This window comes from Homo sapiens, chromosome 20, assembly GCF_000001405.40.
Source record: "Homo sapiens chromosome 20, GRCh38.p14 Primary Assembly".
NCBI classification, from domain to species: Eukaryota; Metazoa; Chordata; class Mammalia; order Primates; family Hominidae; genus Homo; species Homo sapiens.
Genome location: NC_000020.11, coordinates 61,358,120 through 61,383,787, shown reverse-complemented (window position 1 = coordinate 61,383,787; position 25,668 = coordinate 61,358,120). Strand labels below are relative to the sequence as shown.

Genomic DNA, 25,668 nt, shown 5'->3' with positions numbered 1-25,668 from the left:
TTCATATATATGCATATATATCTTCATATATATGCATATATCTTCATATATATCATATATTTATATATCATATATCATATACATTCATATATATCATATATCATATACATTCATATATATCATATATAATATATACATTCATACATATTCATATATGATATATATCATATATTCATATATATCATATATATCATATATTCATATATATTCATATATATCATATATCATATATCATATATATTCATATATATTCATATATATTCATACATATTCATATATATCATATATAATATATTTCATATATATCATATATATTCATATATATCTTCATATATATGAATATATATTCATATATGATATATATCATATATATCATATATATTCATATATATCATATATTCATATATATCCATATATATTCATATATATCCATATATATTCATATATATCACATATATTCATATATATCACATATATTCATATATATCACATATATTCATATATATCATATATTCATATATATCACATATATTCATATATAATCATATATATTCATATATATAATATATTCATATATATTCATATATAAATATATTCATATATATTCATAAATATATTCATATATATAATATATTCATATATATTCATATATATAATATATTCATATATATTCTATATATAATATATTCATATATATATTCATATATATATTATATATATATGAATTATATATATTCCATTAGTTCTGTCCCTCTAGAGAACTGTGACTAATACACTCCCCCACCATGATACACAGTGATTGGTTTTTTTTGTCTGTGTACCGATTGACTTGTGTCCTCCCCTCTGCAAAAAAACATGTCTATATCCTAACCCTAGTTACCTGGAAATGTGAGCTTATTTGGAAAAATGGGTCTTTGCAGATGTAATGACATTAAGGATCCTGGGATGAGATCATTCTGGACTTAGGGTGGGCTCTAACTCCCTGGCACTGAGTATTTCTGATGATAGGTGACCTCTCAAGAAGGGAGAAGGCCATGGAGGTGCACCCGAGGAGAACCACATGAAGACAGAGGCAAAGCCTGGAATGACATGGCCGCCCAAGGCTGGAAGACGTGAGGCAGGGGCCTCCCCGGAAGCTTCAGGGGGAACATGGCCCTGCTCGCACCTGCATTTCAGACTTCTGGTCTCCAGAACTGTGAAAAGATAAGTCCCTGTGGTTTTAAGTCCCCTAGTTTGTAGTAATTTGTCACAACAGCCCTGGGAAGCCAATAGAAGGTGTCACTTACTCTGCCTTTTCAGGAGGGCCCATGGCAGAGACACCAGGAACACCTGCTCATGGGAGGTCCACTCCCAGGGGTCCCCCATGCCAGGGTCTTCCATGTGCATGTTCACCATGTGTGTTTCACCCACCTTTCCTCTTGGCATAAGGCTCTCTCGCTCTGCTCTTCATCCTGATGAAGAAACGATCCCTACCTCACACCACCTACCTTTCCATAATAAGTTAGAGCTGCTGCATTTGAGCATTCCATTAGGCGGCCAGGCAGTCAATAGGCATCAAGTAAGCTTTGTTTATAGTTCTCATTTCTTATTTTTACGTTTAAGCCTCTAGTTAAATGAAACATGATGCCACAGGTATCAGGTATCCTTTCCATTAAACATTTCTGCTCAGAACAGTGATCTTTTTATTTTAATTATTTTTATTTTTATTTTTGAGATGGAGTTTTTTTCTTGTTTTCCAGGCTGGAGTGCAGTGGCATGGTCTCAGCTCACTGCAACTTCTGCCTCCCAGGTTCAAACAATTCTCCTGCCTCAGCCTCCCAAGTAGCTGGGATTACAGGTGCCTGCCACCATGCCTGGCTAATCTTTTGTATTTTTAGTAGAGATGGGGTTTCACCATGTTGGCCAGGCTGGCCTCGAACTCCTGAGCTCAGGTGATCCACCCGCCCAGCTTCTCAAAGTGCTAGGATTACAGGTGTGAGCCACTACACCTGGCCAACAGTTATCTTTTTAAATAGTTTTCTGAAAGGTGTCATGTGATCAAAGTGTTTCTCTGGTAGTAGATTATGCAAAGGCCAAATTGGGGTGGGAAAGTGAGTAATTGATATTCCTTAGGTGGGGGGGTTAACTGGTGGCTCAAATCTTCCAAGGGGGGACATTCTGCGGACTGCCCTATGGCTTTAGAGCAGCGTTCCATCATAGCGTGTACAGTTTTTGTTGAGCTTCAAGGCATCCTGAGAAGGGAGAAGGCACGCAGGGATGGGGAAAGGGTCACATGTTCTTTCCTTGGTTCATTTATCCTCTTCAAAAACTGAAAAAAAATCTCCTTGCTAAGTGGATGTTTTTGTTAATCGTAAACTGCTAGGTTATGTGCAATGAACTAATTATTTCCGCACAGGCTAAGACAAGCCCAAAACAGCTGTCTATGATTTTCTGCACTTACTTTCTCCCAAAGAACTTATTCTTCCTTACATTTCAGAACTTGAGTCCCTGATTGGGCCCTGGTGATATCATCTACAGAAATAAGCAGCAACTCCTATCAAGAGTCAATCACAAACGTCCTGGTGACCTTTCAAGGCAGGACACTTGACAGCTTCTTTGGAAGACGCATTAAGGAGCGCAGGCACCCCGAGCCTCATTCGAGATCACTACTCCATACAGGCTAGGGGAGCTGGTCTCTCTTCCTTCTCCCAAATTTAAAATGTGCCATCCTATGACCAGATAACCTTCCCTTGCAAAATAACACTCTGAATTTCCATCTGCCGAATTCAGACAGGGACTATGTCACGCTGCGTAGCTTGTAGTTTTCAAATATTTGCTAGATTATAAAGGATGATACTCCAGTATTTTTATGTCATCTAAATTTTCCCACATCTTCCCCTGCTAAGGGTGAGTATTTCTGATGACATCTTGAGCAGAGGCAGGAGAAATACTTCGGATGCAACAGAACACAGATGACATATTTCTTTGTAGAACCTCAAACCTTTCATTTGCCGAAGCTGCAATAAGTCCCACACCCTCTTTCAGCATCATGAAAGATCTCCAAGTTGTAACAACCATGCGGGCTGCCATATTGAGCCATTTAACAGTTCATATGGTCTTTAAAATGCATATCGTGTGACAGTGGGTCTGAGTTTGTGAATGACAGCTTTTTATTAGAACTGCCTTTCATCCTCCCGAAAGATATTATCTTCTCATCATCGCAACTTGCTGACATCTTGATGGATCGAGGGAGGGGTGAAAACAGGTGGGAGGGGGCAGGGGGGTTTGTAGGATGGTGTTGTTGGTGGGAGCGCCGTGGAAGGGAAAGCCTGTGAATTATCAGAGTTCACACAAACCCGATCACTCATCTATCTGTCCACGGATATGGATACACAGAGATGATCACAACTCTATCAGGCCATGGCCCAGAACTGGGTAAAACGGGGATGAGTGTAGAGTGTGATTCATCTGCAAATGGTGTCCATTCAACCATTGAGGCAGTCATAAAGGTATTAATTTAGCTGCAAACATTAAAATGTGTATAGTAAGATGGATTTTTTTAACAGTTCAGTGTGGCATAACCTTAATGCAGTACATTAAAATCATTCATTACAATGAATAAATAGCTTAATGAGATTTGAAGCATCGAGCAGTCTCCCCCTAAATGTCTGATGAAGTGAAGCAGGCAGTGGCTGTCACTGAGCATAAATTATGCAAAATAATATGCTCAACACCATCTCTCCCTATGCATCCTTGCTTTTGTTGAATATTCAAAGGGACAGCTTCCCAGGACAATGTCAAATTAGTCTTTGTAAAAAAAGTCTGCAACAAAATTATCTACACAATCCTTATCTGCCTAACTCTTCACTTTAAACAAAGGCCAGTGATAGTGTGATATTTTCTTTGAATGATTTGTCTCTGCTCTAAGCAATGCTACCTATTTTTGAGTCATTTTTATTTTTGTTTAATATCCCTGGAGTTGACACTTCACCTCTAAAACTTGCAGCGGGAATTGAAACAAAGAACAGTTGAGCACAGGAGCCTTGGGTAGAGTTGGTTAAACCGTGGGAACAGGAAAGAATGTCCTGGCCATTTTTCTACTGCTCCTTAGAAAAATTCTTTGTCGAATCAGTGCATTTAAATGAAGCATTTCAGTAACCTCCCTCCCCTCCATTTGTGGATTTCAGAAAGTGTGATGGTTATACTGGACAATAGGGGTGAGGCAGAGGATTTAAAGACCAAAAGCCCCACAGGCCACCTCCCTGCAGCCGCTGGCTTGGGAAGATGAGGTTCTGAATTTTCTTAATGACCTTCAGGACTTCCCTACACAGATTCGGATGTTGGATTAACTTCAATAACTGTGAAAGTCACGGCTCTAACTATTCCATCCTGCTTGGTATTTACAGCGAGAAGTACAGGATGACTCTACGTGGTTGTCTGTCAATTAAGGGGACTCCATGCCACTGCTGCCCTGTTAGTGACCGTGAGAGCAGAGCATTCCCAAGACCTCACTGAGACCCAGCACCCCACAGCCAAGGCACTCACTCCAAAACCACGTGCATCCTCTGTATCTCATCCTCAGACCCTTCCGAGGAGCAGATCTTGGAATGGATTATGTTTTCACACCCTGGTGTTAGTCTGTTAAGAGGAATTACACTTACCACTTGTCAGGCAGGCCACGTGCCCAGTTTCATTCATACAATCTCATTTAATTTTCCCAACCCCCTACCCGGCATTCTCACGCTCCCTTTTGCATAGGTGGAAAACAGAAACCTTGGGCTCAGAATGATTGCAAACTTGCTTAAAGTCAAACAGCGAGGAAGGGAGGGTCTCTCTGACTTACAGCTGAGCCCTCAGTAAAAAATGGATGCTTAACATCTGTGGACTGGACTAATGTCAATGTCTTGGTTGTGATGACATCATCCTACAGTTAATTGAAGGCTACCTTTGGGACATCAAGTGAAGGGACCTTTCTGGGCTATCTTTGCAATTTCCCTGTGAATCTAGAAATACTTCCAAAAAAAGTTCTAAAAATTATGCTAAAGCATCCTTCTACATGGAATGAGTTGTCTGATGGCCAAAATACATCCTTGTCAATCCCTAGAACCTATGATGTCATTTTACTTGGAGAAATGGTATTTACAGGCAGATGTGATTAGTAATTTTGAGATAAAGACATCATTCTGGATTATCTGATTGGGCCCTAAACCCAATGACAGGTGTTCCTATGAAAGACACAAAGTGAGGGACACACAGATGAGAGGAGAAGGCCGCGGGAAGACAGAGACAGAGACTAGAGTGATGTGGTCACAAGCCAAGGAAAGCCGGAGCCAGCAGGAGCTGGAGAAACCCAGGGAGGGAGCAAGCATGGTCCTGCCCACACCTTGATTTTAGATTTCAGATTTCCAGAACTGTGAGACAACACATTTCTGTTGTTCTAAGCCACCCACCTTGTGCTAATTGGTGACCACAGCAGCCCCAGGAACCTCACACACTATAATTTCAAAGTTTTAAAGGGAAGAAAACTATATCCCAATAAATTTTTTTTTCTTTTAACAGAGAGTTTTGCTTTCTCCCTCTGGCTGCCGTGCAGTGGCAATGATCATGGCTCACTGCAGACTCAACCTCGTGGGCTCAAGCAGCCCTCCCACCTCAGCCTGCTGAGTAGCTGGGACTACAGGCGTGCACCACCATGCCCAGCTTATATTTGTATTTTTTAGAGAGATGGGGGTCTTGCCATGTTGTCTAGGCTGGTCTTGAAGTCCTGGGCTCAAGCGATCGCCCACCTCGGCCTCTCAAAGTGTTGGAATTACAGGTGTGAGCCACCACACCCAGCCTCCCAGTGAAATCTTTAGAACCATTTTTCCTAAGTCATTTATCCAGATCACGTGAGTCAACATCACGGCACATGAAGGGATGTGTGAGCTAATTCCCCGCTAATTGGCAGGGCTGCATTGATCTCCCTTCTGCTACAGAGGACAGGCCTCCAGCCTTCTAAGGACAAGGCACAGGCCAGTGGACCGACCTAAGGAGTCCAGATGGGGAACAGATGGAATGTACCCTTTACACAGCACTGAAGAATTGCTTGGAGCCAGTGGTTATGGCACATTAACAGCCTAAGACTTCTGGTTTTGAAAGGGATGTTCTTTCTGGGGATCTGGTTCACGTTCTTCAGATAAAGTTAAAGACACTACAGTTGTTTGAAAGCTAAAGCGACTCGTTGACTACAGAAAAGCACCATGCAATGGTTTTGTTTCATTTAACAAGGACATTTGAAGGTCACCGTAACCACAGCCTCCTCTTTATACAAGTGCACATGGGGATGTCTTGGTGCTGGAGGGTTTTACACTCAGGAAAGGCACCAGGGAGGTGGAGAGAGGATGAAGGAAATGGGGCAACCAGGAGGCGGGGCCGGCAGAGCCCTGGACCACACAACTCAACCGTCCGATGGGCACTTAGACATGGAATGGGGACCCTTTGGATTCGTCAGGGCCCAGGAGTCCCGGGCTGTGTCACCTAAATGATGCTGTGACAAAGTGCAACACGGCCACTGCCCCTCACCAGAGCCCCCCATGCCTCTATTCCACTTCTGCAAACTTCAAGGCTCCTCCGTTTTAGATTGAGCCGCCAACTCTTCAATAATTGCCGAGCCCTGCTTGCAGAATATGTCACTTGGCTGTCCCTTCCAAATCCCCAGTTACCTTGGCAACGCAGACTTGAAGGACAGCAGCCGCCCTCACGTGTTGGTGGTGGGTGCACGTTCATATTTTGATCATCCTACAGCTTTCCAGCTTGCCTAACTAGCGCTCACTGGTTGGGATGAAAGAGTTGGCCCCAAAGAATTGCAAAGCAGGCTTTTGACTCAGGAACTGTGCCCATCAGTGTCAGAACCACCTAGGAAGGCTGTCAGATCAGGGCATTTGCCACAGGGAAGTGCTAGAGAGGAGAGGTGGTGTAGGTAGTGCCTCCCGGTGCCAATGATCTTGGCCACCGGCCATTCACCTGTGTCTCTGAACTTTGTCCCTCACCTGTAGCATGGGAATGTGAGCACCCACCTTCCAGGGCTTGCCTGGGGGTCTGTGCTGAGACAGATGGGAAAAACGGGAGCAGCCACACAGAAGGATCCACAGGAGGGAACCACTCCAACCATATGCCATGGGGGAGAATGCTCAGTAAGATGCATCATGGCCCCAGACTAGCCTTTCCCCATGGGTGACCTGAACTCCGCCTGGAGTAAGAGCCCTTCCAGCATCAGAATGTCCCAAGCCCACGCCTCCACCTCAGCCTCCTCACCATGTCCCTCTCAGTCCCTGCTGCAGGTTCCCCTGCCCCACTTCTGTGCCATTTCCATTTCTCTAACTTGAGGAAACTGTCTTGCTGTCTCCCTTCCCAGGCCTGGCCAGAGCCTGGCTTTCTCCAAGAAGATGGCTCCGGCTCCTCTTGCCCTCCTTCCCCTGGGATCTTTCCCAACAACACTCACATCCCACACAGCAGAATTCCAGGCACTTTTGTGGCCGGTCTCAGGGGTCCTATGCTCCTTTCAAAGCACATCACCACCACTACTACCACTATCAATGCAAAAATGCCACCACTGGCATTGGCACCACCACCACACCCACACAATCACCAACATCAGCAACACCATCACCATCTTGAGCACATTTGCCACCAGTACCACCTTCATCACCACCACCACTCCACCATCACCACCAGCACCAAGACCATCACACTACCATCAACAAACCACACCATCACCACCAAGACCATCACACTACCATCCACAAACCACAGTATCACCACCACCAAGACCATCACACTACCATCAACAAACCATACCATCACCACCAGTGCTATGACCACCACCAGCACCACCATCATCACCAGCACCAAGACCATCACACTACCATCAACAAACCACACCATCACCACCACCAGCACCAAGAGCATCACACTACCATCAACAAACCACACCATCACCACCACCAAGACCATCACACTACCATCAACAAACCATAGCATCACCACCAGTGCTATGACCACCACCAGCACCACCATCATCACCACCACCAAGACCATCACACTACCATCAACAAACTACACCATCACCACCACCAAGACCATCACACTACCATCAACAAACCACACCATCACCACCACCAAGATCATCACACTACCATCAACAAACCATACCATCACCACCAGTGCTATGACCACCACCAGTGCTATGACCACCACCAGCGCCACCATCATCACCACCACCAAGACCATCACACTACCATCAACAAACCACACCATCATCACCACCACCAAGACAATCACACTGCCATCAATAAACCACACCATCACTACCAGTGCTATGACTACCACCACCAAGACCACCACCAGCACCATCACCAACACCTCCACCATGATCACCATGATCACCACAATCCAACCATCACAATCAGCATGGCCACCACATTCATCACCACCTCCCCACTGTCACCACCATCACCTCCATCAGCACTGCTACCATCACCCAACATTACCAAGCACTTAGTAGGTACCATGAACTTTTCTAAGCATCACTCCTATGTTGACAAAAAGAGTCAAACTCTGTAAAATATCTGAAGAGATTTCTGAGCCAAATATGAGTGACCCTGGCCTGTGACACAGCCCTCAGGAGATCATGAGAACATGTGCCCAAACATGTGGTTGGGGTGCAGCTTGGTTTTATAGGTTTTAGGGAGACATGAGGCTACAATCAAATACCTTGAAGAAAGACATTAGTTTGGTCCAGAAATGTGGCATGACTTGAAGGATTCAAGTGCTTCCGGGTTATAGGTAGATTTAAACATTTTCTAACTGGCAATTGGTTGGAAGAGTTATCAATAGAAAGGAATGTCTGGGTTGCAATAGGAGGTCGTGGAGACCGAAGCTGTATAATGCAGATGCAGCCTCCAGGCGGCACGCTTCCCAAGAAATAGGTCGCAACTGTTTCTTATCAGACTTGAGGACTGTGTTGATGTTAATGCCAGAGAGGTATCATGAGGCATGTCGGACCCCCACTTCCCATCATGGCCTGAACTGATCTTTCAGGTTAAATTCTAGAGAGCCCTGGAGGCATGTCCGAACTCCACTCAAGGCCCAAACCGATCTTTCAGGTTAAATTCTAGAGAGCCCTGGCCTAGGAGAGAGTCCGTTCAGATGGTTGGGGGGTGCTTAGAACTTTATTTTTGGTTTACACCTGTGACAACTGTGTGAGATCGGTACTACCGTCATCCCATCTCACAGCTGAGGAAACTGTTGTCCAGGTACCTTAAATAACTTGCCCGAGGCCACAGGGAAAGTGAGTGGAGCACCAGGACCCGAGATCGGGCAGTCTGCAAGCAGAGTTGCCCCTCCCAGACCCTCTCAGGACTCCCAGGTAACTCCCAGGGGATGCCACGACATGTCACGCTGCCAAGATGGGGTGCCCTAGTCACCCTCAAACTGCACCTTTCCTCCAGTCATCACCTTCTCTGCGAAGCCTTCCCTGAGTCCTGTGCATGGGGACGGCCCCTGGTCCAGCTTCACGCATCTCCTCCACGTCACGCTGCACAGAACTCAACTTTTCCACATGCTTCTCCCCTTTCAGACAGCGAGCTCCTCAGGGAGCTAGTGCCAACCTATAGGTGCTACTGCCAACCTACAAGCCCCAAGCTCAGTGCCAGCTCTGTGACAGTGCTTGATAGATGTTTAAAAACTTGGGGTCCATGCTCTGTCACCATCACGCAGGAGCCCCGCGGGCTCTGTATCGCTAAACCCTCCACACCCGCCGTGCGCACTGCCAGCCACACCCCACCTCTAGAGAACACCACTGCCCCACGAGTTCCACACCTGCCCCATCCCCATCACTTTCTGAAGAGAACAGGTGTATCCATATGTTTAATGTGACTGAGTCCTCAGAGTTTATACAGTCACCCACATATGTCTACTTCTTCAAGCTGCTGTGCATTTTAGAAATCACACTTAGCATTTATGTTGCCCTCGATGTGTTCAAATCACTTTCCAACCCATTCAACAGCCAACCCGCATGGCACCCAGAGGGGAAGGCACATTATTGTGATTCCTCAGTGGACAAAACAGCCCCAAATATCCCACACAATCAGCCCAAGGTCACCTGGCAATTCAGGTGTAAGTCTGGTCATCGGAACGCATATTCCCCAGGTTCTAATCCCGTTTTGCTGGGAGGGTGGATGCAGCAAGGAATTGCTACAGCTTTGTCTGCTGCTTTTTCTCCATTAAGTCCAAATGGTCCTGCGAGCCCCAGGACGACATTCATTATGAGAAATGTAATGGGAGAACATCCAGCACATTATCTTCAAAGAACAAAGAATATCATTGCTGTTTTTAGAACAATAAAAGGGTCTTTGAATCAGCTTCCAACAATGCAGAACAAGTGGCTAAAGGGCATAGCCCATTTCATTCAACGGGTGCAAGCCCTCCTGCTCGGGATCCCTGGCTCTCCCCTGAGCTGGGGCCTATGCTGGGCCCCAATGCCCTCAGCCCTCACCGAGAGGAGCTGCCTAGTGCTGACGGCCCAGGGCACAGGACACAGGGTGTTGTTCCAGGCTACGGGGCCGGCAGGACACACACCTGGGTGTTGAGACGGGGGCGGGAGTGTCGGCCACACAGAGGACGTGCCCAGTTAAGGGACAGCTGCTGCCCTAAGCCAGCCATGGGGCATTGCAGCAATGTGGGCTCTGGAAGCCAAATCCTCCAACTGTCTAGAAAATTAGCCAGGAATCAGGATTTTTATGAAAAGTACTTTTTATAAAAGCGTTAACATCTAAATGAAAAAAAAATCTGAAGTATCGTGTGAAATGCATGCAAGGACGCGGAGGGCACGGGGCTGGGGTTGCGTGTCCACGCCTGCTGCTGAGGCCTCCGCCCTTTGAATCTCATTCCCGGAAACCTCCAGGATGCTTTTTAGCCTTCCCTGTAGGTGTGGAAAGAAATAGTCTAGCTTGGTAAGTGTGTCCTGCTACTAGGAGTCGGCCATCCCTCCTATGTGGGCAGAAACCTGGGAGGCTTTGCTCCTCATCTGTGGCAAAACTGAGACCCGGCTGGCACGTGGGTGGGGGTTGGGGGAGGGTTGGCTCCAGGTCTGGATCTCAGGGGACGTCAGGGTAACCGAGAACTGGAGCCATGCCAGGGGGACCAAGATCTTTGCAGCCACCCAAGTCCACCACAGCTTTGGGGTGACCCAGGAGCAATCCAGAGGTCCGGCAGGGCTCCAGCTTTTCCTGGATGTCACCCTTTACTGAAATATGAATCTGTGCTGCTTAGTCTGTGTCAGGCCCCTGAGGTGGGTCTGCAAATAGAGCCATGGGGACCTGCAGGCAGAAGAGTCCACAGTACAGCTGCTCAGCAGGGCGGTGCTGCACGGAGAAGGAGGCGAAGCGTGTGCGGGTAGACACGTGAGCACGCTGTTTCCTTCTGATGTAAACACTGGGCAGGAGGGCTGGGTGCCTGGTCCCATTGCGGCTGCCTCTGTGCCTGCATGGGACAGACCCATGGGCCAGGTCACCTCTGTGTGACTTCCCCACAGGAGCCAAGCCACAGACAACGGCTGGGCCATCAGGAAGACATGGAGTTTGGCTTTCAGGGGTAGATGGGGCATCCACACAGGTCACACGCTTCACTTAGGGGCCAAAACACCCGGCAGAGAACGGCTTCTCTCTATCCCAGGAGGGAGAGACCTGGGTGACAAATGTGGAGCAAAAGTATGGAATCCAAACACAGAAGCAAATTCAGAGCCCTGTAAGCCTGGAATGTGCACGTGTTTACAAACACAAGCGGCCTGCCCGTGACCTCATTAAACATTACTCTGGGTCATCTCCACAAGACTGGGCTTGGTACAAGGAGCCCAAATGACAGTCACAAACACTTGGCCAGGGGCGAGGGACGGATGGTGAGGGTGGGGGTTTACATCACCGCAGGAAAAGATTTCAGATTCAAAATCTGCCTTCAAGATGTGCACCAGCACACTCTTGCCCGTTCTGGACTCGAGCCTTCGCCTTCCATGCGGCCCAGCCCAGGGCTGCTCTGTGCGTGATGAGGTCTCCACGGGAGCCCCATGGCCTCTGTCCTCCAGATGCCGGGACCCAGCCACGAAGCTGGTAACACACACAGGCCTTGGTAGGGGCTCGGGGCCCGCAGCAGAGGCCTGCCCGGTGGTCTTGGGGAAGGGATTGTTCAAATGCAGAATGAGCTGAAAGGCTGAGAAGCCACAGGAAGAAAAACGAGCTGTCTGGGGAATAACCAGACAGTCCACCTATACGACGGCTGGTTGAAGGCTTTTCCCGATGGCACTGAGAGCTGGCAGGGTGAAAACACGTCCGCAGCGTCTGACACTTCTTACCTGCGGGGACAAGTCGTGTGTATTGAGGTATTCAATGTCCACTGGACACCAAGGGCTGCCCCAGGAAGGGTCCCCTTCATCCAACCCCGGCCTCAGAGCCCGAAGGGGGTCTGCCTGGGGGACGCTGCAAGAGGGCAAATGGCCCTGATGGCCTCCATCCTGCAGGTGCCCACCTCTCCCCACTTCCCACCCTTCTGGCCCCATCACCGCCAGCACTGCACAGTCCAGGGCCAAACCAGTCCCTGCCACTCTAGAGCCTTCTGCAGGGCTCCGAGCTCCCGGCTGCAATCAGATTACACGCTCCAGTGCCCAGCCTGCTCGCTCCAAACAGAACGAATCCATTCATTAACACCAAGGCCAATTAAAAAGTAGGCATGCTCCCAAATAAAAAATCCCCCAGGCTGCGCGCTCCCGCCCCGTTCCCAGGAAGCCTCTCCAAGCGACCCCTGCCCAGAGCGCTGAGGCTCCTCGGGAGGACAAACGGCGCGGGGGAAAGGGAGGGAGAAAGGACAAAGAGCCGGCACCATTCCGCTCCTCACAATGACAGAAGGCTCGTTCATCAGTGAGCTGGAGCCTGCACAACTTTAATTTCGCATTAAGTCCCAACTCAGCTCTCACCATCCCAAGTTTTATATAGTCATTTGTGTACTCTCATTAAAAAGCTTAATATCCAAGTGACAGGGGAGAAAAATTGCCTCCTCATTACAGTCTCTGTAAAAACAATATTGTAAAAATTTACCATTGAGTTATTTACAAAGCAAAAGATGTAATCAGTATTTAAATGCTCACTGGAATGATATGTCTTCCCTTAATGCAGGCATGTCAAAAGCCCTTCCTGGCAGTGCTGGCTTGAATCCTTTTCCAGTTTAATCCTTAGAAGCAACTGATACTCCCTGTCTATAGAGGAGGAAACCCCTGGACTTGGTGGGAATAATGACCACCACTCACTCAGCGGCACTGGGGAGAGGGAGGAGGCCACAGACTGAGGGAGGAGGCCGTGGTCGGGGTTGCAAAGCCCCCTGCATGCCCAGGGACCACCTGGCTCCTCTCCCGTGCATCACCTGTACCACTCTCCTCTGCATGGATCCCAGAGCCGGGAGCTCCTTGAAGGCATGCAGAGGTCCAGCCCAGCACTCTACCTTCACAGGCAACAGCCACCCCCAGGGCCAGCCAGGAGCTCAGTGTGAAAGAACAGGGCCCTCCTTGACCTGGCTCCTCCCTACGCACAACTTCCCAGGGCCACCCACCCTCGGGGAAGGCCTCCATCAGCTGCCACCTGGCTAAAAGCAGGGCCTCCCTTCCCCCAACCCCAGTCAGTTCTCTGACCAGCAGTAGACACAGGATGCAGCCCTGGCAGGCCAGGCTGGGGCCCTGCATGGCTCAGAAACCTTCCCACCAGGTCCTGGAACACCAGAATAAAACCCCGCTCCTATCCCGGGGTCTACAAGGCCCTATGGGCCATGCTGCCTACCTCTGCTGTCCCCAGGATGCCAGCCTTTGTGTCCCCAGGACTCTGGAAAGTCCTCCCCACTGGGGGCGCTTCACTCTGTTCCCTCTGATCTTTGTGTGGCCAGGCACCTTCTCCTCTTTCGTGACTCAAATGGCGCCTCTGCAGGGGTCTTCTGTGATCCCCTGTCTGAAGTGCCCCCGAGCCCTGTCCCTTTCCATTTGACATTGCTTTTTTTTTTTTGGTTGGTTTTAACTTTTATTTTAATAGAATTTTAGATTTACAGAAAGTTGCATGAAGAGGACAAATAATTCCTGTAATTCCTTCATGTAGATTTTGAGAACCCCACTGGGTTCATCTCTAATACATCCTTCCATGTGCCTCTTCTAAAAACATGGGCATCTTCTTACGTATGCACAGTACACATAGCAAGATGCAATGCCATCTTCTAATCTACAGACCCAACCCAGATTCTGCTTATTGCCCCAACGATGTCATTCTTTTTTTTTTTTTTTTTTTTTTTTTTGAGACAGAGTCTCACTCTGTCACCCAGGCTGGAGGGCAATGTTATGGTCTTGGCTCACTGCAACCTCCACCACCCGGGTTCAAGCAATTCTCCCACCTCAGCCTCCTGAGTAGCTGGGACTACAGGTGCATGCCACCACACCTGGCTAATTTTTGTATTTTTAGTAGAGAGGGGGTTTCACTATGTTGGCCAGGCTGGTCCCGAACTCCTGAACTCATGATCTGCCCGCCTCAGCCTCCCAAAGTGCTGGGATTACAGGCGTGCACCACTGCGCCCAGCCTAACAATGTCTTTTAACAAAAGACTATCCTGGGCCAGGGGTTCAACTGCTGTTTTGACAGGAGTTTTCTTTAATCTGGATTTAATCGGTCTATACATTTCATGAAAATGGCATTTTTGACGATAGTAGGCTACGAACTACAGAATGTTGCTCACTTTGGGTTTCTCTGATGTTTTCTCATGATTAGATTCGGGATTTTCAGGGATATATCACAAAAATGATGCTGCGTCCTTCTCAGTGGATTGTGTCAACAATCAGTGATACTGATTTGTTCAATTACCAGTGATATTAATTTTGATTACTTCGTTAAGGGGTGTTTTAGTACCTTTGGGTTGCTACAACAAAATACCATCCTAGCCGGCTGCAGTGGCTCACGCCTGTAATCCCAGCACTTTGGGAGGCCAAGGCAGGCAGATCACTTGAGGCCAGGAGTTCAAGACCAGCCTGGGCAACATGGTGAAACACCATCTCTACTAAAAATACAAAAATTAGCCTGGCATGGTGGCACATGCCTGTAATCCCAGCTACTTGGGAGGCTAAGGCAGGAGAATCACTTGAACCCAGGAGGTGGAGGTTGCAGTGAGCCTGGGTGACACAGTAAGACTCTGTCTCAAAAAAAAAAAAATTACCATTCCTTGGGTGACTTATAAACAACAGCAATTTATTGTTCATTGCTTTGGAGGCTGGGAAGTCCAAGATCAAGGTGCCTGCAGATTCAGTGTCTGGTGCAGGCTTCTTCCTGGTTCACAGACGGTGCCTTTCTGCTGTGTCCTCACCTGGCGGATGGGGTGCAGGTTCTCTCTGGAACCTCTTTTCTAAGTGCACCGATCCCATTCCTGAGGCTCCACTCTCATGGATCACTTCCCAAATGTCCCACCTTGGGGGTAAGGATTTCAACACAGGAACATAAAACACTCAGAGCACAGCAAGGAGGTACGTGCCATTTCTCCAGTGGGAAGTTACTATTTATTTTTTCCCGTTGTAATCATTAAGAGTCTGGAGAGGCCGGGCGCAGCGGCTCACGCCTGTAATCCCAGCACTTTGGGAGGCCGAGGCGGGCGGATCATGAGGTCAGGACTTTGAGACCAGCCTGACCAACATGGTGAAACCCCATCTCTACTAAAAATACAAAAGTTAGCCTGGTGTGGTGGTGGGCACCTGTAATCCCAGCTACTCAGGAGGCTGAGGAAGGAGAATTGCTTGAACCCAGGAGGCAGAGGTTGCAGTGAGCCAAGAGCATGCCACTGCACTCCAGCCTGGGCGACAGAGCAAGATTCCATCTCAAAAAAAAAAAAAAAAAAAAAGATCCTGGAGAAAGGCATTTCCAGGCAATGTACAATATACATCCTGTACTTGTCCTCAAACTTCCACTCAGTAGTTTCAGCATCTACGGAGGCTTCTGACCTGAATCAATTATTGTTATGATGCTTGTCAAATGGTGATTTTCTCATTCCATGATTCCCTTCTCATTGATTAGCTGACATTTTGCCGCAAGAAAGTGCTGTTCCTCCTTTCTCCTCTATTTACTTCAGTGTGGACTCGGGGCTCCTGTTTATTCTGGAGGTTATGATCTATAACTGTCATTGTTTCTGATGCTCAAGGTTGGGTCAGTGGAAGCCCCTTCAAGCTGCTCAAGGTTGGGTCAGTGGGAGCCCCTTCAAGCTGCTCAAGGTTGGGTCAGTGGGAGCCCCTTCAAGCTGGCTTCTGTGGTTTTCTTTTATCACATTCCCACCACTATTTGAGCACTTTCTTACTTTCTCCATTGTTTTTTTTTAATTGGCTTCACTTATAATTAGCAGGAGCTCTGCTGTTTACTCATTCGTCCACTTATTTACTGACTGTCTCTTGTGTCAGCCTTGTTTACAGCTGTGCTTCAGCTCCAGAATGTGTTTAGCACAGAGCGAGCATTTAACTGAAGACACTCTCAGGTGTGTTAGGAAATGTGATCTCAGGGAGCCCCCGGAGGCACTCTGGAGCCCTGTCCCACCCTGGCCTGGGGGAAGTGACGGCTCTGGTGGCTGCTTTGGCACACGCCCTCCTCCCTGAGGACCTGCACATTTGCTCAGTCAGGGCTTGGGTGGACTGGATCTGCCCGAGTGAGTAGTCCCGGCATGGCTCTCTGTCAGCAATGGGGTGGGTGGGGTCGATGGGCCCCGCTGTCTCGTTGCCTGCAATGTGTTCTGTGTGGTGTCTGGAGGGTCCGCAAAGGGCCCAAGCTCCAGTTGTCCAGGGCTATGACCCCGTTAATATGCTGTTTTTATGGTTTTCTTCCTTTACCGTTTTTCTTCCTGTTGGGAACAAGCCCCCCAAAATCTGGCCATAAACTGGCCCCCAAACTGGCCATAAACAAAATCTCTGCAGCACTGAGACATGTTCATGACAGCCATAACGCCCATGCTGGAAGGTTGTGGGTTTACCAGAATGAGGGCAAGGAACACCTGGCCCACCCAGGGCGGAAAACCACTTGAAGGCATTCTTAAGCCACAAACAATTGCATGAGCGATCTGTGCCTTAAGGACATGCTCCTGCTGCAGTTAACTAGCCCAATATTCCTTTAATTCGGCCAATCCCTTCGTTTCCCATAAGGGGTACTTTTAGTTAATTTAGTACCTATAGAAACAATGCTAATGACTGGCTTGCTGTTAATAAATACGTGGGTAAATCTCTGTTCGGGGCTGTCAGCTCTGAAGGCTGTGAGACCCCTGATTTCCCACTTCACACCTCTATATTTCTGTGTGTGTGTCTTTAATTCCTCTAGCACCGCTGGGTTAGGGTCTCCCCGACCGAGCTGGTCTTGGCACCTCCCCAGCCTCCCGCCTTATGTTTCTTGGGTTCATCTCCCAAATAGTCACAGGGTCTACCTTGACCAGACTCTAAGCCAAGACAGAAATCTCGTCTTAGAATGACCTCCCAGGACTGCAGAGAACTGCTAGGAATGAATTCAAAGTGAGACTCAGGAACATCTCTTTAGGGTTGAGTCTTCAGCCCTGGAGGACTGCAAAGACTCCAGCCTTTCTCCAGCAGAACTGTGCTTCAGTGGAGACAACCTCTTCCCACAGGACACTTACCCTCCTTCTGACTGCGGCTGGCCGGCCACCACTGGGGAAGCCATGAGCTGCCTGAAAACCATTATCACATCCCCAAAACTTGGGCTCTGGTGCTGCATGCCTGTCTAATTCCGCATTTGGGTAATTTACTATCATTAAATTATCTCCCAGCTCATACATGCATCCTCTTTAGAAAGGGCATTCTCAACACTCCCAGCCTGTGTGGAATCCAATCTTGCTCACCTGTGTGGAGTTTGCCTTGGATCTCAGGAGCAAGGTGGGGACACTATCTGCAAATCCTATTGATTGTTGATCTGAGCGTTCTCAAAGGCCATGCCCCAGTGAGCTTGGTTACTGTCTCTCCAAAGGGAATGCAGGCACGCCCCATTGCAGCCCCACTAATGTTCTGAGCCTCTCTCTGCTGTGCTGGACTCTGCTGCGTCAATGAGTAGCTCATCTCTCACCAATGCACCAGGCCCTGGCAGGTTCAGACCCAGCTTCCCTCGCCAGCTGCATCCTGGCTCACAGTCATTCTCGACCCCCACACTGAGCCCACCCTCAGGAGTCAGCTCCACACCCTCATTACCCCCCAGCTCCAACCAGAAGCCTTTCTGGGTCCTCTGGAGATAGTGAGTGCCGCCTCCTGTCCCCTTTGCTCCTCATACCCCAGCACTCATCACCCGTCTGACCCTTGTTGACTATGAGCCACTCAGGTTTCCACCCCGTCCCTCCCGTGATGGACCAGCCACGCCCATGTTCTTGAATGCTCCTAACAGACATCTGCAAACACAAAGAGAAGCCAAGCCCCACGAAGAAGACATCTTTGTACTTACTTAGGTTTCTCATTAGGAGCAAAATGTTGACTCTTGGTAGAATTTGATTATTCACCAAAAAAGACAGCTAGGAACCAAAACAACATGGAAACCATTTCTGCCCCCATGATGACCTACCTTGGACTCTTGCTATGATCTTACCAAGCACACAGTAGAGTTGGGCACTGAGGTGCATTATAGACTCCAAATCTACAGGTAAATGGCTAGAGGACAAAAGTTTGTTTCAAAGGAGATCCATTCCATATCTTGGAATCCATCATGGGCCAAGTTTGGTACATGTGGTCTAGGGCAGTGGTTCTTAAACCTCAACAGGCATTGGGATCCCCTGGGGGCTCCTTAAAACAAAGCTGCTGCTCCCCACCCGAGTTCCTGCTGTCCCCACTCTGCAAGAGGGCCTGAGGGTCTGCATTTCCAACAGGTGCTGTCACCACTGCTCGTCGGGGGCCGCACTGTGAAAGCCACAAGGGATCTTGCAACTCTTCTAAATTCTCATCGTCTTCTGCTGAGGCAGCCTCATCATCGCTTGGGTTTGAAACCAGATCTATTTCACTACTTTTAATGTTCATCCACTAGAAGCAAGACAGAGGTCAGAATCTCCACCCTGGGGTTTAAAAAAGCACAACTTTGTGCATGTTTATGCACATGTTTATGGACAGCATGTGCACCAGGATGTCTGTAGAAGTCTGAGAGCCAAGGAGAGGGTGAGCTGTGACCTGGCTAGGTGGACCTCAAGGTCCCACTTGGAACCCCCCTCCTGATGCGGAACAGAGACAAGCCCAGGCTGAGCCCTGTGGAGGCAGCTGATCTCCATCTGCAGAAGCAGCTACAGAGGAGCCCTCCAGGTAGCAAGTCCAAGGCCATGGGGAGCCCTGAGCTCATGCAGTGCTGTGAACATTCATGGGCCTGATCTCGGGGTGTGAGGAGCCCCCAGGGATAGCCCTGCGGTGTTGCCTAGACCAGGGCAAGTTGATCTAAGAGTCCTCCCAATGGCTCCACCCCCACGGCTTGTGTCTCTACCAGCTTCCATGTGGGTTCCCTGGGAGACGTCACTTCCCAAGGTGCCTGGCCACTGGATCAGAAAACCCTCCTAAATCCTCAGCTCCTACTGGATGAGCCTGAGCTGGGGTAGAGAGAGCACAGCTGGAATCGGGGATCTGCTGGACAAGGTGCCAGGCCTTTTCCTGTCCTTGCTTCAGATGGCATATTGGTCTATGGGTTAATGCATGGTGAGTGTCTAAACGACACATGGAAATGCTGGCCACAAGCAATTTAGAAGTTCAGATGCTCCTCAACTTATGAGGGGACTGTGTCCTAACAATCCCATCATACACTGAAAATATCCCAAGCTGAAAATGCCTTTAATACACCTCTCTCACCAAATATCATAGTACGGGTTCTACTGTTACCACTTTCACATCATCATGAAGTTGAAAATTTAAGTTGAATCATTCTAAGTCAGGCACCATCTGTAACGATTTCTATATCTACTTCTTCCAATTCACTTGCCTAGAGAAACACTGACCTGGTAGCTTTCACTCCCTGATTTGACCTTTCTTGACTACCTCTGAGCTCTGGCCACGTTGATTCTCTCCTCGAAGGGGCAACTTTCTCACCTTCTGGCCTGTGTGAATGCACTGTGGCCCCCGTCAGGAACACTAACTCCTCCTTGACACCTGCCCTTCATCCCTGGCATCAGCCTAACTCTTGCTGCCTCAGGAAGCCTGACTTGGCCAGATCCCCCTTATTTAACACTTCTGTTGAGTCCAGGACTTCTTTATAACATTTGTCATAGGTGTGTGTGTGTAGGACTTCTTTATAACATTTGTCATAGGTGTGTGTGTGTGTTTGTGTGTGTGTGTATGTGAGAGAGAGAGAGAGAGATATTTAGATTCTTTTATGCCTCTCAAAAGACTGGCGCTCCATAAGGACAAGGAATCTATCTGTTTTCCTGGCCGTTATATCCCCCAAACCCTGCACAGTACTTGGCAGATAATAGATGCTCAACAATATTTGTTGAGCAAATATTTGTTGAGCAAATGGATAAATGAATGAATAAGTTAAAGAACAAACGGATGGGAGGATGAGAAAATGGCCAGCTCACACATGTGCATCAGGTCCTCGGTCCAGTGCTCAGCCTCCAAACCTGCCGGCAGCTGTCCTGGAACCCAGACACAATTCTAAGGCACGGATGCAGCAGGTTCAGCTCACCAGAATGAGGAGATGTCAGAGCTGGAAGAAACTCACTGTCCTCACAAATGGGAACCCCAGAGTCCAGAGCCACTTTTCAACTCTCCAGGACACACAGTTCACATGTGACACGGCACAAGGGCACAGGACACAGGTGGCACGGAGCTTTGTAAAAAGCCACCTGTTCACATTCTTGAAAAGTTAGGAATGGCATCTTTGGACTCAGACCCAGTTGGACCAATGATGCACGTTGCTGGACCCTTGTACTTGGCAGTTATTTGATCTCCTCTGGCCCAACACAGAACGCATGATCCTCTCGCCACCTCCTTCCTTCCCTAATGCTGTCTCAGGTGCCCCTGTCTCGGGGAGTGCCCCCCACCCCATCCAGCCAGGGGCACTGATGGCCCCGGAGGTCATCAGGACTGTGATGTGTCTTCACCTCAAGTCCCCTTTGCTCCCCCATCCTGACCCGCTGAATCTCACCACTTCCCTTCACTTCCACTACACTGTCCTAGGCCACGTCTCTGCTCTCCACTACGCTGTCCTAGGCCATGTCTCCGCTCTCCCCTACGCTGTCCTAGGCCACGTCTCCGCTCTCCACTACACTGTCCTAGGCCATGTCTCTGCTCTCCCCTACGCTGTCCTAGGCCACGTCTCCACTCTCCACTACACTGTCCTAGGCCACGTCTCTGCTCTCCCCTACGCTGTCCTAGGCCACATCTCTGCCCTGCCCTATGCTGTCCTAGGCCACGTCTCCGCTCTCCACTACGCTGTCCTAGGCCACGTCTCCGCTCTCCCCTTCCCTGCTGAATACTCTGTGGCTTCCATCACCCCAAAACCCCAAACCCCTCCCCAAGGCCCACACAGCCAAATGCAGCAAGCACATCCCCCCCTGCCAGGCTTTGCACTTGCTGTGCCCCCACCTGGACCTTTCTTCTTCCTCATCATTGCCTTCCTGGCTCTTTCTTGCTTCTCAGGTCTCAGCCCAAATGTCTCCTATTCACAAAGGTCTTCACCGACCATGCTGGCTAAGGGACGCGCAGCCCTCTGCATCTTCTTCACCAGCACCCACTGCTCTCCGAGCTGCTCCAACTGGGCAAGACACTTGCTGGTCCCCTCTCGGAGAGTGTGGGCTCCGGGATGGCAGATGCCTGGCTTACTTGCTGTGCACAGGATCCCCTGGGCCTGGAACAGTACCTGGGGCATGAGAGGAAGCTGATCCCCTGGGTCTGGAACAGTACTTGGGCATGAGAGAAAGCTATGTGCTGGGCTGGCCTCTTCTTGCGGGCAGGCACCCCGGGTTCCGCACCACGGCACCTCCTCCCTATGCCCGAGCACAGACTGATGAAAGCCTCATTGCCCTGGCTTCATGCCTGCACCGCTTTCCTGACTCGGGCTCCAGCTCTCCCTTCTTAGACCCTGAGCTTGGGTTGGGTCCGTCACCTGCTGCTCAGCGGATGTCTGTTCAAGGAAGGAGTCAGGCCGGGCTCCTCCACGCACGACTGTCGGAAACCAAAGTTAAAATGGGAGCATCTTCCTTTTCGGAACCAAAGCCAGTAGACAGATGCTCTGCAGATTAGAAGAAAGAGGTCCAAGGAAAGTGTCTGGTTGTCTGTTTTGATCACTGCAGCTGTATCCCCCTCCCCATCCCCTGGAAAATCACACCTGGGAGTGATTTACAAATACTCATCAACTTGCCAAGTGCTTCTCTCATCTGCCCATTTCTACAAGTTCTCCCTTCTCTTTTTTGACACATGTGATCATGAAAGCTAAGAAATAATACCTCCTCATCCTCCCCCACTCCCACCCACATAAGATCCATGCGTGCAAGTCTCTTGGCAAAGGAGGGCCCATCCCAGAAACCCTAGCAGGGTCTCCAGAGCAACGGGAGGGCCCTGAGCTCCATGTTGCCAGAAAGGGCAACCCTCAGGGCTCCTTCCCTCTCAGTCTCAGCCTGAGAGTCACCCCAGGCTCCCCAGCCAAGTCGTCTCCACGTCGCTCCCTTCCCAACTCTATGACGCCAGCCTCGTCTCTTGCCTGCTTTTCCCTGAGTCTCCTGTCTCCTCTCCTAATAACAGAACTTGAAGGGCATCCCCTTTTTGGAAACTGTGATTCTCTGCGTTCTCTCAGGCCTCCCACCCACCCTCCTCCTGCTACATTTTCATGCTGTTCCTTTTGTTTGCCTCTCCGTGGAAATGGGAATAACCAGTCCGTCTTCTTTTTGTTTGATGGATGGGGTTAAAACTATCGGTTCACAAGTATACAGCCCTTAGTTACCAAAGCCTCCTTTCTAGAATTGAGTTCGTATGCCTCTGATCATCTGACTGCTTTTGACAGATTCTTTACAGTTTTCTTTTCCATTTTGTGTGAAGTTCAGAAACCCCCATGACCCATGGCCTCCAATATCAGGTTCAGAGTGGAACCGTAAGGAACATCTGGGGCCCTTCTGACTTCCCTCCATTGCCACATGTCCCCAGGCTGGACTGGGTGGTGACATTCTGAGTGTGTCTCCGTTACTTTGCTCTTCACAGTGTACTGAGAGCAGGACTCCCATGGCCCCCTGCTCCTAGGCGGGAGGGTCTCATCTCTGCAGCACTGGACAGCGTCCTCCATCTGGCTCACAGCTACTACCAGCAGATGCCAACTGTCCAGGAATGCATGGCTGATGGAAGCAGAGGCTCATACCTGAGACACAAACCCGGGATCCTGACCGCGGCTCTCTCCAATGTTCTTCTGCCCTGCTCCGAGGGCACACACCAGCCCCAATAGGCACCTCTTCTACTTCTTGGGTCTCTCCCACGTCTCACCTGGTATCCTTCATACCCTGGAAAGATCCTCAAGGGTAAGGAACACACTTTTTCATTGTCTGACAGCTTCTGGCTGTGCCCAGCACAGATCTGCACACCCAGGACATAGTTCAGTTTCTCTGGCTCTGCCCGACAAACCTGCGAGCTGATGTGGCAAATCTCCCTTCCCCAAGATGCCGAGAACATGCAGACTCTGTCTCACAGGCAGCCTCCCCTGGATTTTAGTGATTCTGGTTAAATTCTGGTTCAATGAGAAGTGAAAACTGGGTGTGGCAGTTTGCTTCTTTTTGGAACCAGGATCTCACCAAGAGCTCCAGATTTCAGCTTCTGGTTATGATCTGCTATTCCTTCCAGAAAGTCCTGTTCTCTGATCACTTTCCTTCCAGGAAGATTTGTTTCATCTGTTGCCTTATCTGAGTTTATTATGGCTGATCACTCAATAAACACTTTCTTTCTGAGGCCTCTCTCTTTAAACTGCCATCTCGCTGGGGTGAAGCCTCTGTCTCTCTCTTTTCTCTCCCCCACAGCCTGGCTTTCATCAGGGCACACTGTAGACTTGGATGGGAGCAGTTTGTGCAGAATGCAGCCTTTAGGTTTTCTCCCTTCCTCTCTGCCTTTCTTGCTAAAGCTGAAAAAGGGAGGATGTGGGAGAGAAGAGAGTGATGCTAAGTCCTTGTCCCCAAAGACAAGCACCGAGGGGTTGCCAGGCCGGGACACGGAGCACCTGCTTCATGTATCACTTTGTGGGACACAGCAAAGACTCAGCCCAGACTCCTACGCCCTTCAAACCTGCCGCGTGGAGGTGGTGGGAAGGAACCTCCTCCTGTCCAGGCGGCCTGCGTGCTGGGGAAGTCGGGAGCTTCACAGCGGTGCTCCCAGGGGAGCCTGGTGCCCAGTCCTCTGTGGCCTCTCACCATAGGTTCTCCCGGGACAGGGAAGGTGGAGAGCACGCACACAGGCGCATGGCCACAGAATTCGGGGTCGGCGTAGCTGACAAATGAGTGACCTCGTAGTCCACCCCCCACCCCCAAACTCCTAGGGAAGTGAGCCAACGACACAGAATAAATACCTCGCCAGGTTTAAGAGGGGCTTTCTGTGGTGATGTGTGAGTTCATTGTTTATTTATTAAAAGAAAGCCAAGATGAGAAGTCACTGACACCGAAACTTCCCATGAGTTAACGAACTCAGGCTGCCAGGGAGTGAAATGCGGGCATGTGTCTTTGCTGGCTGATTCTGGGAAACTCTGCCTGGCTCTCTCCACATTCCGGCTTCCCAACCTGACCCTCTGACAAGCATAAGGACGTGAATGCTGTGGCACACTGTGATTAGAGACCCCTGTTCTATCTGAGGTGCTCTGGAACCCAAAAGCCGGTGAATCACGGAGTAAACCCCCCCGTCACCCTGGGCTGAAACTGACGGTGAGCATGCCGCATGACGGCTCCCTGTAGAGGGAACGGTTTCCGTGGCTCATGCAGGTCTCCTCTCCTTCCCCCCCGCATTAAAGCGACTGTTCCCTGGGTGGGAATTACTGTCTGAGACCCTGGCCGGGATCACTGTTGCCTGAAGCTTCCAGCACCCAGCCTTCAAAAACAGGCAAATGTGTTCGCAAGACAAATGTGAGGTTTGCAATAGAAAACCAGGGAAGGGCCGTGCATTTGACCCTCTCTGTGTAAAATACGGGGATATCTCTTTACAAGGGACTGGATTTTAGGTTTTACTAATTAGCAGAATAATGCTGATATTTAAATTGTCCTCATTTAGACATCAAAAATAATTAGGAGGGAGGTGATGGGAAGCTTATAGTTTATTCAGCTTTCATTCAACCAATATTTATGAAATGTTCGCTCTGCCCCAGGCCCTCTACTAGGCATTGGGGATATGGCAAAGAAATGGCCATGCCGGACCCTGAGCCCCTCGTGGAGGTCAGTGTCAGGCCTGCGGGCATAGCCTGACTGATGTGGGTGCTGTGTGCAGGGCACAAGGCTTGGTGCCTCGGGAAATAAGGAGGCAGGACCATGACCCCACTCAGCACACAGTGGGTCGGCTGAGGGAGAGGAAGGCAGACAGCACACTCCTCATCCTAAACCAACAGCTCAAAGGAGGGGTTTCGAGGTTTCTGTGCAGGAAGCACGTCCCGGGGGTTTGCTCACAGGAATCTCTCAAAGTACCCATATCCAG

General features: G+C 49.3%; 1 protein-coding gene across 3 annotated transcripts in view, besides 1 other annotated feature; it reads right to left on the bottom strand.

Moving 5' to 3' along the window:
• The window catches only part of CDH4 (cadherin 4), a 688,357-nt gene that overhangs the window by 556,830 nt on the left and 105,859 nt on the right, over positions 1 to 25,668 (bottom strand). The gene's annotated exons all lie outside the window — the stretch shown is intronic.
• Positions 21,741 to 22,035: a silencer, noted in NCBI's record as "tiled region #1887; K562 Repressive non-DNase unmatched - State 21:Repr". NCBI's record gives its function as "represses a minimal TATA promoter and a strong SV40 promoter by Sharpr-MPRA in K562 cells {active_cell/tissue: K562}" and the evidence as "EXISTENCE:reporter gene assay evidence [ECO:0000049][PMID:27701403]".